Raw genomic sequence first — 16505 nt, 5'->3', positions numbered from 1 at the left:
GGAACTACAGACAGGTACCACCATGCCTGGCTAATTTTTAAACATTTATGGTAAGATGAGGTCTTACTGCGCAGGCTGGCTTCGAACTCCTGGGCTCAAGTGATCCTCCTGCCTCAGCCTCCCAAAGTGCTGGGATCACAGGTGTGAGCCACCACACCCCACCAGTTTCCCCATGTGAAATGGGGACAATAAATCCCATCTCACAAGACTGTCACTAGGATTAAACAAGGTGATGTCAATGAAAGCATTTTATAAATTAAAAAATACTACCTACAGGCCAGGTGCGGTGGCTCACACCTGTAATTCCAGCTCTTTGGGAGGCTGAGGTGGGCGGATCACGAGGTCAGGAGATCAAGACCATCCTGGCTAACACAGTGAAACCCCATCTCTACTAAAAATACAAAAAATTAGCCAGGCGTGGTGGCAGGCGCCTGTGGTCCCAGCTACTCGGGAGGCTGAGGCAGGAGAATGGCGTGAACCCGGGAGGTGCAGCTTGCAGTGAGCCGAGATTGCACCACTGCACTCCAGCCTGGGCGACAGAGCGAGACTCCGTCTCAAAAAAAAAAAAAAAAAACAATACTACCTACATATAAAAGTATTGTTATCCTTCCAACAATAGTCATAAATAATATGGACCCCAAAGCAAGTAGAAATGGTGAGATGTGGGTGTGGGCAGTGCAGGGAAACCCATTTTTCTTCTTAGTTAACAGCACTCAACTCCTTCCAGGCTGCTGCAGTTCAAGAGCCTCATTATTTTTTTTTTTTTTTTTTTGAGACAGAGTCTTGCTCTGTTGCCCAGGCTGGAGGATTAGAGTGCAGTGGCACAATCTCTGCTCACTGCAACCTCTGCCTCCAGGTTCAAGTGATTCTCCTGCCTCAACCTCCCAAGTAGCTGGGACTACAGGTGTGCGCCACCATACCCAGCTAATTTTTTTTGAGACAGAGTCTCACTCTGTCTCCAGGCTGGAGTGCAGTGGTGCAATCTCGGCTCACTGCAACCTCTGCCTCCCGGATTCAAGAAATTCCCCTGACTCACCCTCCCGAGTAGCTGGGACTACAGACACACGCCACCACACCCAGGTAATTTTTGTATTTTTAGTAGAGATGGGGTTTCACCTTGTTGGCCAGGATGGTCTCCATCTCTTGACCGCCTGCCTCAGCCTCCCAAAGTGCTGGGATCACCAGCATGAGCCACCATGCCTGGCCAAGAAGCCTCATCTTCTGACACATAACTGCTGGAGTCCAAATGCCGACTTACTACACCACCTCGGCCAAGTCATCAAGGACTACCGGGGGGGTTTATTCGCTTCCTGGCCAGGCTCAGGAAGGTGCCAGTCACTGCTGGAACTCGTGAGGATGATGTTGGGGATAACAGCACTTAAACTTCCTCACTGGGCTTTCAAAATGCATTATCAGCAGGACTTTGACCTATAACCAACAAAGACAATGTAATTACTCAGCAATTTATCAACTTCTCTACCCAGCTCCTTTGATAACCTCAGTGAAAATAGCCTCTGGGTTCCAGTATCTGTTTAAATAAATGGGAGTGAACAGGTGTGTCGAAATACTCATCGGCTGAGTAAGAGATCTGCTCTGGGGCTCTCCACTTAGGTCCCCGCATAAAAGTTGCCACCTTGTCACCATCACCGGAGAAGACAGAAGCTTCAGTGACAAGGAGCCAGCTGTAGAAGGGGTGGGAGAGGATTTCTGAGCCTCCTCAGCAGGACTGACTACATAATTTGTACGATCTAGGACAAAATAAAAATGTGGGGCCCCTTGTTCAAAAATTAAGAATTTTGACTGGGTGTGGTGGCTCACGCCACCCAGCACTTTGGGAGGCCAAGGCGGGCAGATCACTTGAGATCAGGAGTTCAACACCAGGCTGGCCAACATGGCGAAACCCCATCTCTACTAAAAATACAAAAAATTACCCGGGCATGGTGGTGTAAGCCTGTCATTCCAGCTACTCAGGAGGCTGAGGCAAGAGAATTGCTTGAACCTGACAGGCAGAGGTTGCAGTGAGCCGAGATAGCGCCACTGTACTCCAGCTTGGGTAACAAAGTGAGACTCAGTCTCTACAAAAAAAAAATTTAAGAATTTCAGGCCGTGCGCAGTGGCTCATGCATGTGATCTCAGCACTTTGGGAGGCCAAGGTGAGAGGATCGCTTGAGCCTAGGAGTTCAAGACCAGCCTGGGCAAATTTTTGTAGAGAAGTCAACTCTACAAAAATTTTAAAAATAAAAAAATTAGCTGGGCGTGGTGGTGCGCACCTGTACTTCCAGCTACTCAGGATGCTAAGGTGAGAGAACTGCTTGAGCCCAAAAGTTCGTTCAAGGCTACAGTGAGCTATGATCACACTACTGCACTCCAGCCTGACTCCAGTCTCTGTCTCTATTAAAAACAAACAAACAAACAAAAATCAAGAATTTAAAGACAGCAATAGCAGAACTTCAAAACTAGCATAGGACCCTTCTGATCACCAAGCCACATGTGATGACTCCTGGGCCCTTCTTCCTGGGACAACTGCACCAGCTTCTAATCAGCTCGCCCATCTCAGCCTGACCCCTCTCTGCAGCCTGAAGTCCAGACTCTCTAGCCTGGCACCATAGTCCTTTCCTTCTCTCTGACCTAATCATTAACCATAACCCCAGCCCTCTACACTCCAGTCACATCTACAAACTTCCACTTCTGGCCGGGTGCAGTGGCTCACACCTGTAATCCCAGCACTTTGGGAGGCTGAGGCAGGTGGATCACTTGAGGTCAGGAGTTCAAGACCAGCCTGGCCAACGTGGTGAAATCTCATCTCTACTAAATACAAAAATTAGTCAGGTGTGGTGGCACATGCCTGTAGTCCCAGCTGCTTGGTAGGCTGAGGCAGGAGAACCGCATGAACCCAGGAGGTGGAGGTTGCAGTGAGCTGAGATCGCACTGGTGCACTCCAGCCTGGGTGACAGAGTGAGACGCCATCTCAAAAAATAAATAAATAAAAATTTAATAAAAACAATTTAAAAGAGACAATTTCTAAGTGAAAAAGTAACATTCAAAAGAGTTGATCTAGGCTGGGTGCAGTGGCTCATGCCTGTAATCCCAGCACTTTGGGAGGCCGAGGCAGGTGGATCACCTGAGGTCAGGAGTTCAAGACCAGCCTGGCCAACATGGAGAAACAACATCTCTACTAAAAATACAAAAATTAGCCGGGCGTGGTGGCACGCACCTGTAATCCCAGCTACTCAGGAGGCTGAGGCAGGGAGAATTGCTTGAACCAGGGAGCTGGAGGTTGCAGTAAGCCAAGATCATGCCACTGCACTCTAACTTGGGAGACAGAGTGAGACTGTCTCAAAAATAAAAAAACGCTGGGCACGGTGGCTCACGCCTGTAATCCCAGCACTCTGGGAAGCTGAGGTGGGCAGATCACCTGAGGTCAGGAGTTTGAGACCAGCCTGACCAACATGGAGAAACCACATCTTTACTAAAAATACAAAACATTAGCTGGGCGTGGTGGTGCATGCCTGTAATCCCAATTACTCGGGAGGCTGAGGCAGGGGAATCGCTTGAACTCGGGAGGTGGAGGTTGCAGTGAGCTGAGATCACGCCATTGCACTCCAGCCTGGGTAACGCGAGTGAAATCCCATCTCAAAAAAAAAAAAGAAAAAGAAGCTTCCACTTCCTCTGATTCTTCAGGCTTGCTCGTGTTACCGTGGATTTTTGTAGCTCTTTTCCCCTTTCTGGACTTCTCCCCTCTATGAATATCTGGCAAACTCCTACTCATCCTGCAAGGCCCAGTCAAGCATTGCCTCCTACATGAGTGCCTTTGATTCTACCATCCTGGTTAGACCATCACTGCCTTCTTTATCCCAAAGCTGATTTATTTTTTATTTTTATTTATTTATTTTTAAGACAGGGTTTCACCATGTTGCCCAGGCTGGTCTCGAACTCGTGAGCTCAAGTAATCCACCCATCTCAGCTTCCCAAAGTGCTGGGATTACAGGTGTGAGGCACTGCACCAGGCCCCCAAAGCTGATTTCTACATTCTCTTGCCCAGCACCTGGAAAAGGCACTGTGGTGTGGATCTGTCCAGCATCCTCTTCTCCCTTCCTCCAGTTGTAACAACCCCTCCTTTTTTATATGGTTCTGCCTCCCTGGCCCCAGTGGTTATCAATCCTAGCACCCCAGCCACAGTGACTGGCCCTGAATGAGCATGTGACCCTAGCTGGGGTGATTAGAGGCCTTCTAGGGACTGTCTGGCTTCCCTGGAGGGGGTGTGCTCTCTCTTTCCCCTAGGGTTTCTAAGCTGGGGAGATGCAAACCTGGGCCACCTATGCCCATGCACTGTGCCCCACCTCCCCACAGAGAAGGCCAGCCCACAGGCAGAGAAAATGAAGCAAACACACAAACAAGGGAGAGCCAAGAGATGGAAAGAGGCTGGGCGTGGTTGCTCATGCCTGTAATCCCAGCACTTTGGGAGGTGGAAGTGGGCGGATCACCTGAGGTCAGGAGTTCCAGACCAGCCTGGCCAACATGGTGAAACCCTGTCTCTACTAAAAATACAAAAATTAGCCAGGTGTGGTGGTGCGCGCCTGTAATCCCAGCTACTCGGGAGGCTGAGGCAGGAGAATTGCTGAACCCTGGAGGTAGAGGTTGCAGTGAGCTGAGATCGCACCACTTCGCTCCAGCCTGGCAACAAGAGTAAGACTGTGTCCAAAAAAAAAAAAAAAAAAAATGGAGAGAGTCCTGATGCCATCGCTCAATACCATCAGTGATCCCAGCACCATGAGCCAACAGATTCCCTTCTCTGGAGAATGCAACTTGAGTCCGGTTTCTTATTAACGCAAAGAGTTGATAATAGACTATGGTTGCATTTCCAGTATCTTTTGTTTCTCCTACTAGACAATGAGCAATTTGAGAGTACAGCCCCCACCCTGACCTGTCCCCATGTCCAAGCAACCCAGCTAAGGGCCTGGCACGCAGCAATGGAATGTTATTAAACCACCTAGGCTCCACTCACCTCACACCTGTAGCAATTTTCATGGAAGTTTCTTCCCATGCATTCGATTTTGAAGGCATCTTTCCCATCCCGAGGGATGATGGGATTTTCACAGATGCTGCAGACGGGGGCGAATTTCCTAGAAGCAAAGGAACCCATGCTTGGGAGGCGTTCATGCCACAACCACAGAAATTAATTAGCTGTCAGAACTCGGGCTGGCTGGTGTTCACCTCCTGAGCAATTTCAGTCCCGTTGCTATGGGACTGCAGAGATGTCTGTTTCTTCTTGGCAGGAGCAGGTGGAGAGACCTGTGTAATGAGACCTGGTTTCCCAGCGTCACTGGAGATTGTCTGAATTGAGAACTGTGTTCAGTGGGGCTGGGACCCATCTCATCTGTCTTTTTTGTTTTTTTTTCAGTACTTCTTTTTTTTTTTTTTTTTTTGAGATGGAGTTTTTTTTGCTCTTGTCACCCAGGCTGGAGTGCAATGATGCAATCTCAGCTCACTGCAACCTCCACCTCCCAGGTTCAAGTGATTCTCCTGCCTCAGCCTCTTGAGTAGCTGGGACTACAGGCAGGCACCACCACGCCCAGCTAATTTTTGCATTTTTAGTAGAGACGGGTTTCACCATGTTGGTCAGGCTGGTCTTGAACTCCTGACCTCGTGATCCGCCCACCTTGGCCTCCCAAAGTGCTGGGATTACAGGCGTGAGCCACTGTGCCCAGCCAGTACTTCTTTCTTTCTTAAGAGGCACATCTGTCTCTCCGCTTGAGTGGTGAGCAACTCATGGGCAGGGATTGAGTCCAGCGGTTATCTGTGTGTCCCCACTGCATCATTCAGCTCCAAGGGCAGACCCCGAGGTCTGGGCTTTCAGAGCAGGGCCCCAAAGTCAGGTCCTTGGGGATGTGCATACTTACCAAGAGCTTCAATACTTACCTGTGGAGAGACTTTGGGTACTTAGCTGCTGTGTGCCTTGGGTGGTAAAACAGAACCCTTAATCGTACCTGCCTGTGACATTATATTTATTTTTCAGTTTTTTGTTTTGTTTTGTTTGGGATGGAGTCTAGCTCTGTTGCCCAGGCTGGAGTGCAGTGGTGCGATCTCGGCTCACTGCAACCTCTGCCTTGGCCTCCCAAAGTGCTGGGATTACAGGCGTGAGCTACCGCGCCCGGCCCCATATGTGTTTTTTATATATGTTTTTGTCTATAGTTCCTGCTGGGCTCATCACTCCCATAGCACTTGTTATAATATTGGGCACTTCAGGCCTTAGAAAACAGAATTTCTCTCTGACCTTTTGCCTGTTCCTTTTTCTCCCCAAGGCAGGAATCTTCTCCCACCTTTCTTGCTGGGAGCTGGCCATAAAGAAATTCTCTGGCCTGCCTTATCTGACTGAGTCATAAGCCCTTCATTCATTCCAGGGAGAATCCTGCCCTCCATCCTGGAGGAAGAAAAGCTGCATAGAGACCAAGATGACTCTGGACAGGCCCTGCTAGGTTTCCCTCTCAGTTTATTAGCTTCCACCATACCCTTTTCCTCCAGCCGAATTTCTACTGGGTGGTCAATCATGCCTATCCAATGACGTCTCCATAGAAGGCCCAAGAGGACAGGGTTCGGGAGCTTTCAGGTGGCTGAACATGTGGGGGTTCCTGGAGGGTGGCACACTTGGGGAGGGAGGGCATGTAAGCTCCTTGCCCCTTCCCCTAGACCTCATCCTAGGCATCTCTTCACGTGTCTGTCTGTATCGCTGTAATATCCTTTTCTTTTTTTTTTTTTTTGAGACAGAGTCTCACTCTGTCACCCAGGCTGGAGTGCAGTGGTGCGATCTCGGCTCACTGCAAACTCCACCTCCTGGGTTCAAGTGATTCTTCTGCCTCAGCCTCCCAAGTAGCTGGGACTACAGGCACACACCACCATGCTCAGCTAATTTTTGTATTTTTTGTAGAGATGGGGTTTTACCGTATTGGCCAGGCTGGCCTCAAACTCCTGACCTCATGATCTGCCCACCTTGGCCTCCAAAAGTGCTGGGATTACAGGTGTGAGCCACTGCCCCCAGCACTGTAATATTCTTTTTTTTTTTTTTTTTTTTTTGAGACGGAGTCTCACACTCTGTTGCCCAGGCTGGAGTGCAGTGGCGTGATCTCGGCTCACTGCAAGCTCTGCCTCCCAGGTTCACGCCATTCTCCTGCCTCAGCCTCCCGAGTAGCTGGGACTACAGGCGCCCGCCACCATGCCTGGCTAATTTTTTTTGTATTTTTAGTAGAGACGGGGTTTCACCATGTTAGCCAGGATGATCTCGATCTCCTGACCTCGTGATCCACCCGCCTCGGCCTCCCAAAGTGCTGGGATTACAGGCGTGAGCCACCGCGCCCAGCCCAGCCCTGTAATATTCTTTATAATAAACCAGTAGACAGGAAACTCTGGCCCAGCACCCAGGACTCAAGCTCAGCTCCTTCACCCTGCTTGGGTCTCGCCCTGTCCCTGCACCCCACCCAGTGCACAAACCCTTCTCGTACCTGTAGAAGTCGTCCAGGCAGTACACCTCGTTCTGGCTGCCCAGGGCAAAGCTCTCATCCCCAATGCACCGGGCGCAGGTCACACACGTGAAGCAGGAGGGGTGGAAGGCCTGGCCCAGGGCCCTGATGATGTGGTCCCGGACCACCTCGCCACACTTGCCGCACCTCTCCAGTGTGTCCTAGGACAGAGGCCACTGCCAGAACCATCCACGACACACCCACCCCAACCCACGAGGGTCGTCTTCTTCTGAGAGGCTGCCCTCAGGGGCCCAGGAACTGGGAAGTACAGGAGAGGCCTGCAGACAACCTGTAACTATCGCCCAAAACCTCCACCATTGCTTATAACAAATTGAGCTTAGCCTTGCATCCTTGGCTTACAGCAAGGAATACTGCCCTGATGCCCTGATGCTATGGCTGCATTTCTTGTTACTGGGATATGTTTATGGCCAGGGTCCACAGAGCTATAGGAGAAACCTCGCTTAAACCTCAGGGTCAGGAAAAGGAATTCTCAGGAGAATTGGGTGCTTTATCATACAGACAAGAAGACTTGAAATTCTTTCCCTTTTCCATTTGGCCACTTGGAAGCTCAGAGCCAAATTCCACATTTCACGTTTAGAAACCATTATAGGGCTTTTTTGTTGTTATTTGGTTCTTGTTTTGTTTTGGGACAGAGTCTCGCTCTGTTACTGAGGCTGGAGTGCAGTGCCCCAATCTCAGCTCACTGCATCCTCTACTTGAGGTTCAAGTGATTCTCATGCCTCAGCCTCCTGAGTAGCTGGGACTACAGGTGTGCGCCACCACGCCCGGCTAATTTTTTGTAGACACGGTGTTTCACCATGTTGGCCAGGCTGGTTTCGAACTCCTGACCTCAAGTGATCAACCCACGTTAGCTTCCCAAAGTGCTGGGATTACAGGCGTGAGCCACCGTGTCTGGCTTCCTCACACATTTTGGGTAGTAACATTCCCTTTGATCTCGTCTCACTTTCTATTTTGATTTTCCTTCTGTTTGGATGTCTTTATTTTACATATCGTAGTATTATTGCAGTCTTTAAAAAATTGTTTTATTGTGGGAAGAACACTTAACATGAGATCTACCTTTTTTTTTTTTTTTTTTTCTGAGACGGAGTTTTGCTCTTGTCAATCAGGCTGAAGTGCAGTGGCGCAATCTTGGCTCACCACAACCTCGTTTCCCGGGTTAAAGCAATTCTCCTGCCTCAGCCTCCCGAGTAGGTGGGATTACAGGCATGCGCCACCACATCCGGCTAATTTTTTGTATTTTTAGTAGAGACGGGGTTTCTCCATGTTGGTCAGGCTGGTCTCGAACTCCTGACCTCAGGTGATCTGCCTGCCTCAGCCTCCCAAAGTGCTGGGATTACAGGCGTGAGCCACCGTGCCCAGGCTTTTTCTTTTTTTTGAGATGGAGTCTTGCTCTGTTGCGCAGGCTGGAGTGCAGTGGTGTGATCTTGACTCACTGCAGCCTCTGCCTCCCGGGTTCAAGTGATTCTCCTGCCTCAGCCTCCCAAGTAGCTGGGATTACAGGCACGCACCATGCCTGGCTAGTTTTTGTATTTTTAGTAGAGACAGGGTTTTTCCATTTTGGTCAGGCTGGTCTCGAACTCCTAACCTCAGGTGATCCACCTGCCTCGGCCTGGCATGAGCCACGGCACCTGGCCAGTTAACATAATTTTATATGATGCTTTAAGAAGAAATGCGCCAGGCAAGGTGGCTTATGCCTGTAATCCCTGGACTTTGGGAGGCTGAGGCAGGCAGATCTCCTGAGGTCAGGAGTTCCAGACAAGCCTGGCCAACATGGTGAAACCCCCGTCTCTACTAAAAATACAAAAAATAGCCGGGCGTGGTGGTGGGCAACTGTAATCCCAGCTACTTGAGAGGCTGAGGCGGGAGAATCACGTGGAATTTTTCAGTGCACGCATGTTATTGTGGTCTATAGGTATATATGCATTCTCTTTAAAAACATATTTTAATAAAAAAATAGCTATATTAAAATAGAGATGGAGTCTTGCTATGTTGCCCAGGCTCGTCTTGAACTTCTGACCTCAAGTAATCCTCCCACCTCAGCCTCCCAAAGTGCTGAGATTGCAGGTGTGAGCCACCGCGCCTGGCTGGTATACATGCATTCATAGAAGCTGCCTCAAATTCCTTCTGGAATGAGGAGCAATGACAAAGAGATTCCCGAGGCAGGGCAGTGGGCTTCCCTCTAGCCTTTCCACCTTTTCTCCTGGACATGCTGTCTCTCCTTCCTGGCTGTGCTCCTGTGCATTTTACCTTGACCTCACCTGGACACGTGTGGGGGCATCTCCCACTCCCCCCTCCCTCTCATGGGCATGGCCCTTCTCTCCCCAGCACACTGCTCAAGTCTTCCTCCTGGCTGCTTCCTGCTTCCAGCTGGACACCCCTCCTCCCCTGGTGTCTCACCCCTGAGGAACACTCCCCCATGATGTTGATGGGGTCACAGGGACACGGCAGGGAGGGCCTGGCTCCTCTCTCTTCCCACAGTGCCTCACTGGTGGTGAGCCTGGGATTGGATTGTTTGGATTCTTCTGGAGAGTCTCAGCTCCAAATACTCTAACCCTTCAAATCAGCCGTTTTCAAACTTCTATATGCATGAGAATCACTTGAGACACTGATTCAAAATGCTGATTTCCAGGTGTTCCTCATTCATAAGCACAAAGAGTGGCCTACACATCCCCAGGGGATGCGGCTGTGGGTGGTCACCACACTCAACATGCCACCACAAACCATCCAAGAGTTAGAAATTCCAGTGTGCTGGCATCCCAGCTGGCTCTCCCAGATTGCACTTGGTACCCGGAAGCAACACAGATTCCCGTGAGATCAAACATTGGAACCCTGTGGCTCTACTCTAGGGGAGATAGTGGCAAGACTGATGGCAGGCTCCAGAGCCAGATGGGTGTGGAGTAGAATCCCAGCTCCTTGGCCATCTCGTGTGACCTCGTGTGGTAGCTAAGAGATGCCCCCAAAGATATCCAGTCCTTATCTCTGGACCCCGAATGTTACCTTGCCCGGCAAAAGAGGCTTTCAGATGGGATGAGCTAAGGATCTTAAGATGGGGGAGATTATCCTGATTATCCAGGTGGGTCCTAAATGCCATCGCGTGTCCCTGTAACTTGACACAGAGGTGACAATAGGGCCGCTGAAGTGGGATGCTACACTGCTGGCTTTGAAGCAGAGGAAGGAGTCAAGGAGAATGCAGCTTCATAAACTGCAAAAGGGGCCAGGTGCGGTGGCTCACACCTGTAATCCCAGCACTTTGTGAGGCCGAGGGGGTGGATTCCTTGAGGTCAGGAGTTTGAGACCAGCCTGGCCAAAGTGGTGAAATCCCATCTCTACTAAAAATACAAAAATTAGTTGGGCATGGTGGCAGGCACCTGTAGTCCCAGCTACTCAGGAGGCTGAGACATGGGAATTGCTTCAACCCGGGAAGCAGAGGTTGCAGTGATCTGAGATTGTACGACTGCACTCCAGCTGGGGTGACAGAATGAGCCTCCATCTTAAAAAAAAAAAAAAACAAAAAAAAACAGGCTGGGCGCAGTGGCTCATGCCTGTAATCCCAGCACTTTGGGAGGTCGAGGTGGGTGGCTCACGAGGTCAGGAGTTCAAGACCAGCCTGGCCAAGATGGTGAAACCCCATCTCTACCAAAAATACAAAAATTAGCCGGGTGTGGTGTCAGGTGCCTGTAATCCCAGCTACTCGGGAGGCTGAGGCAGGAGAATCCCTTGAACCTGGGTGGCCGAGGTTGCAGTGAGCTGACATCGTGCCACTGCACTCCAGCCTGGGCGATAGAGTGAGACTCCGTCCCCCACCGCAAAAAAAAAGAAGAAGAAGAAGAAAAAAAGAAATTGCAAAAGGCAGAGATGTGGGTTCTCCCTCAAGCCTCCAGACAGCACACCACCTTGGTTTTGGCCCAGTGAAGCTGATTTTGGACTTTTGATCTCCCGAACTGGGACAGAATAAACGTGTACTGCTGGAAGCCACGAAGGTTGTGGTGATCTCTTACAGGCAGCCCTAGGAAACCAATCGCCTTCACTGGGCTCCTTCTTTCTGAGCCTCAGTTTCCTCATCTGTGAAAGGGGTCAATAGTGCCTACTTCCCAGGACTGTGTGGGGAATGAAATGGTGCAACATATTCTAAGTGCTCAGCTCACTGCCTGGCACCCAGAGGTCTGCTGCAGGGGTTACCTGGTAGCAGGGTTCGCAGAGGGGTCGCCCATCCTTCTGGTAGAAGCTCTGCCCAGCCAGCTGGCGGCGGCAGGTGCGGCACGTGAAGCACTGGGCATGGTACTGCCTCTTCATGGCCTCCACAGCCAGCTCTCGGGGGGACACGGTCTTGTGGCAGAAGGCACAGATGTCTGGGGTAGGGGAGACACAGGCCATCACCAGCCCAGCCTGTGAGGACTGTACCCAGGCACCACCCAGAACATGCTCAGGATACCCGAGGCTCTGTCTTAAACCCTGCAAATTCCTCAAATGACAAATACAGAGGGTCATGAGGAGCATTAAAAAGGAATCTGAGTCAGGCATGGTGGCTCACACCTGTAATGCCAGCACTTTGGGAGGCCAAGGTGAGCGGATCACTTGAGGACAGGAGTTCAAGACCAGCCTGGCCAACATGGTGAAACCCCATCTCTACTAAAAATACAAAAATTAGCCGGGCATAGTGGCATGCCCCCGTAGTCCCAGCTACTCATGGGGCTGAGGCAGGAGAATCACTTGAACCTAGGAGGCAGAGGTTATAGTGAGCCGAGACTGTGCCATTGCACTCCAGCATGGGTAACAGAGTGAGGCTCTGTTTCAGGAAAAACAATAAAAATTAAAAAAAATAAAGAGCCCGGCGCGGTGGCTCACACCTGTAATCTCAGCACTTTGGGATGCCGAGGTGGGCGGATCACAAGGTCAAGAGATCGAGACCATCTGGCCAACATGGTGAAACCCTGTCTCTACTAAAAATACAAAAATTAGCTGGGCGTGGTAGCGGGCGCCTGTAGTCCCAGTACTCAGGAGACTGAGGCAGGAGACTCGCTTAAACCCAGGAGGTGGAGGTTGCAATGAGCCAAGATCGCGCCACTGCACTCTAGCCTGGTGACAGAGCAAGACTCTGTCTAAAAAAATAAAAATAAAAATAAATAACATAAATAAATAAGGAATTCTGGACAGCAGTTTCAGGACAAAGGGATTGTTGGCTGCCTTGACCTCCCAAAGTGCTGGGATTACAGGCATGAACCACTACACCCAGCCAGGAGCCACTTTGTTTATTTATTTTATTTTATTTTTTTATTTTTTTGAGACGGAAGCTCACTCTGTCACCCAGGCTGGAGAGCAGTGGCGCAATCTCAGCTCACTGCAACCTCCGCCTCCTGGGTTCAAGAGATTCTCCTGCCTCAGCCTCCCGAGTAGCTGGGATTACAGGCACACACCACCACACCCAGCTAACTTTCGTATTTTTAGTAGAGACAGCATTTCACCATGTTGGCCAGGCGGATCTCGAACTCCTGACCTCAGGTGATCCACCTGCCTCAGCCTCCCAAAATGCTGGGATTATAGGCGTGAGCCACCACGCTCAGCCAGGAGCCACTTTATATTCTGATGTGTGACCAGCTCTGAGATGTACGAAGGAAAGAAAGTGAACAGCAGAAGAGCCTAGTTTGCTACTTATGGAAAAATGGGGGGAGGGAGCAGGTGGACACATATTTGTATTTGCTCGTATGTGCATAGTGTCTTTGGCAGGATACATGAGAGCTCAATGACAGAGGACACCCATCTGGAAGGAAACCGGGTGGTAGGGGGATGGGGCAGGTTGCAGGCTTCTCACTGTGTCCCCACTCATGCTGTTTATTTTGCACTGTGTGAGGGCATTAGGTGTTCAGAAAATAAAATAGTGAGAAAAAATTCAAGACATTTTTGCTATCATAGCAAACTGCAGACTAACATTTTAAATAGAATTTAGGTATAAAGGGAAAAAGGCTAAAGCAATACAAATTAAATGGATGCCGAACTACAAAGCCCATCATTGTTAACATGAGCTGGGGTGGGGATGGGAAGAGGGGTCCTCACTCTCTTGGTTTCTACCTGGAAGCCCATGCTGGCCCCATGAGATCACCCCAGTATCCTCTCAGCCCTGTGCACCTACCTGTGGATGCCCCTTTCTCAACAGGTTCTGCCGGGGGAGGTGGCAGCTCTTCCTCCATGGGCCTGAGGGGACCGGGCTGGACTGAAGGTCCCTCCGCTGGGGCCTGTGGGGATGCAGACGGGGAGTCATCCAGTGGGACCCCATGCAGCCCTCCCAGCTCTGTTCCTCATCTGGGTGGTAACAGGTACAATTAGCCGCATTGTACCGAGAAGGAAACCAAGGCCCAGGGAAGCAAGGGACCTGCGTAAGTCTCTCAGCAGGAAGGTCACAGTGGCAGCTGACTGGGGTCCCTCAATCAGCCACTGCTCCTTGTCCTACTTAGAAGGACTCTCCTGCAACCAGGCTTCCCCATGGATGCTGGACTGAAGTGGACTAAGCCCTTGGCCTGTGACGCCCCCCATTTCTACACAGCCTCTGTTAAGGGCCCAGGGTTAAAAAACAGGTTCCTGGCCAGGTGCAGTGGCTCAAACCTGTAATTCCAGCACTTTGGGAGGCCGAGCCATGCGGATCACGTGAGGTAAGTAGTCTGAGACCAGCCTGACCAACATGGTGAAACCCTGTCTCTATAAAAGCACAATAAATTAGCCAGGCATGGTGTGGGTGCCTGTAATCCCAGATACTCAGGAGACTATGGCAGGAGAATCGCTTGAACCTGGGAGGTGGAGGCTACAGTGAGCCAAGATCATGCCATTGCACTCCAGCCTGGGTGACAGAGCGAGACTCCATCTCAAAAACAAACAAACAAACAAAAATCCAGGTTTCCTATGCAGCCTAAGGGATTTAGGTCGGACTCAGGGAAACGTCTTCCTCAGAGCTGAAGGAGGTGTCTGCGGCAGGTGCAGCAGCGAGGCAGTGGCATCCCTCTCCAGGGACCCTGAAACACTTAACCAATTTTTACCTGCCTAAATAGGGACTTCTGAGAGCTTCAAAGAGGGACTGCCCCCGAGCAGAAGAATGCACCAGACAAAGTCCAGGTTTAGAACCCCTGAATGCCCAGAAGGCCCAGACTCCCCGTGCCCCAACCAAGGGGACCAAGGGATTGCTGGGGGTCGGGGGGCAGGCAGTACCTGTGGTGGGGGCGGGGGCGGGGACAGGTGCAGCTGCTCTAAGTCTGCAATGAGTGAGGCCCCCATTGGAGCAGGAGCCTCCTCTTCAGAAGGCAGAAGCACTGGAGGGGGCGGTGGAGGGGGTGGGAGGAGGTCCAGGTCAGGAAGCACGTCCTCACCATCCAGGACAGGAGGAGGGGGTGGGCATCCTGCAATGGGGGAGGAGAGAGGGCTGGTCAGAGCCTCCCAGGTGGACCTGGGAGGGTTTTACTTACCTACATGGCCATACAGAGGGAAGCTGAGGGCCCCGGTCGGGATCACCCCGGCCTGGGTTCCATGTCTAACTCTGCCACTGATTTGCTGTGTGTCCTTAGGCAAGAAACTTAATCTCAGGCCAGGCACGGTGGCTCATGCCTATAATCTCAGCACTTTGGGAGGCCGAGGTAGGCAGTTCGCTTGAACCCAGAAGTTCAAGAGCAGCCTGGGCAACATAGTGAGACCTCAACTCTACTAAAAATTAAAAAAAATGTAGCCAGGCATGGCAGCACAAGCCTGTAGTCCTAGCTACTTGGGAGGCTGACGTGGAAGGATCACTTAAGCCCAAGAGGTTGAGGCTGCAGTGAGCTTAGATCACATTACTGCACTCCAGCCTGGGTGACAGAGCCAGAACCTGTCTCAAAAAAAAAAAAAAAAGCCGGGTGCAGTGGCTCACACCTGTAATCCCAGCACTTTGGGGGACTGAGGCAGGCAGATCACCTGAGGTTGGAAGTTTGAGACCAGCCTGACCAACATGGAGAAACCCCATCTCTACGAAAAACACAAAATTAGCTGGGCGTGGTGGGCATGCCTGTAATCCCAGCTACTTAGGAGGCTGAGGCAGGATATTCACTTGAACCCAGGAGGCGGAGGTTGCAGTGAGCTGAGATTGCGCCACTGCACTCCAGCCCGGGCAACAAAAGCAAAACTCCATCTAAAAAAAAAAAAATTAGGCTGGGCGCGGTGGCTCACGCCTGTAATCCCAGCACTTTGGGAGGCTGAGGCGGGCAGATCACCTGAGGTCAGGAATTTGAGACCAGCCTGGCAACCCTGGTGAAACCCTGTCTCTACTAAAAATACAAAAATCAGCTGGGTGTGATGGTGGGCGCCTGTAATCCTAGCTACTTGGGAGGCTGAGGCAGGAGAACTGCTTGAACCTGGGGAGCAGAGGTTGCAGTGAGCCGAGATCGCACCACTGCACTCCTGCTTGGGTGACAGAGCGAGACTTCGTCTCAAAATATACACACACACACACATACACACACACACACAAATTAGCTGGGCCTGGTGGTGAGAGCTTGTGGTCCCAGCTCCTTGGGAGGCTGAGGTGGGAGGATTGCTTGAGCCAGGGAGGTTGAGGCTACAGTGAGCCGTGATCACACCACTGCACTGCACTGCACTGCAGCTTGGGTGACAGAATAAGACCCTGTCTCGAAAAAAAAAAATGCAAATTCTCAGGCTCCACGGCAGATCTGCTGAATCAGAGATACTTGGGGTGGGAGCCTGCGGCTGTGCTGGAATGGACCCAGTGACTGTGTTGGTACAGGCCCGGGTGATGCTGCTGCTGACTCAGCGGAAGTGAGAGAAAGAGGCTCCGATGAGCTCACGGAGTCAGGAACCAGGTCTTGGAGAGGCAGTAAGAGTGCTGTGGCCTCTCCCAGTGCCTGCCTCCCGGTGCAGGGCCCATAGGCTATGATGGGCGGGCAGGAATTCAAGAGAGAAGCAGGGGGACCCGAGGCCACAGGGCAGGTGGGCAGAAAG

At 51.1% G+C, this 16505-nt stretch overlaps 1 protein-coding gene across 43 annotated transcripts in view; it reads right to left on the bottom strand.

Moving 5' to 3' along the window:
• FBLIM1 (filamin binding LIM protein 1) overlaps nt 1-16505 on the bottom strand; it is a 29952-nt gene that overhangs the window by 4297 nt on the left and 9150 nt on the right. For 15 of the 43 annotated variants that reach the window (XM_047423104.1, XM_011541617.3, XM_047423129.1 and 12 more), the window contains 5 exons: nt 14730-14917; nt 13663-13765; nt 11715-11884; nt 7497-7675; nt 5006-5123 (listed from right to left, as the gene is read on the bottom strand). In XM_047423104.1, the coding sequence (XP_047279060.1) occupies nt 5006-5123; nt 7497-7675; nt 11715-11884; nt 13663-13765; nt 14730-14917 (758 nt within the window). Of the gene's footprint in view, nt 1-5005; nt 5124-5266; nt 5992-7071; nt 7676-11714; nt 11885-13662; nt 13766-14729; nt 14918-16505 lie in introns of those variants that run through there. The other 28 variants (XM_006710705.2, XM_017001521.3, XM_017001519.3 and 25 more) reach the window with 7 other exon arrangements.

The sequence above is a fragment of the Homo sapiens genome, chromosome 1 (genome assembly GCF_000001405.40).
Source record: "Homo sapiens chromosome 1, GRCh38.p14 Primary Assembly".
Taxonomy (NCBI): domain Eukaryota; kingdom Metazoa; phylum Chordata; class Mammalia; order Primates; family Hominidae; genus Homo; species Homo sapiens.
This window is presented reverse-complemented; position numbering and strand designations above follow the sequence as displayed.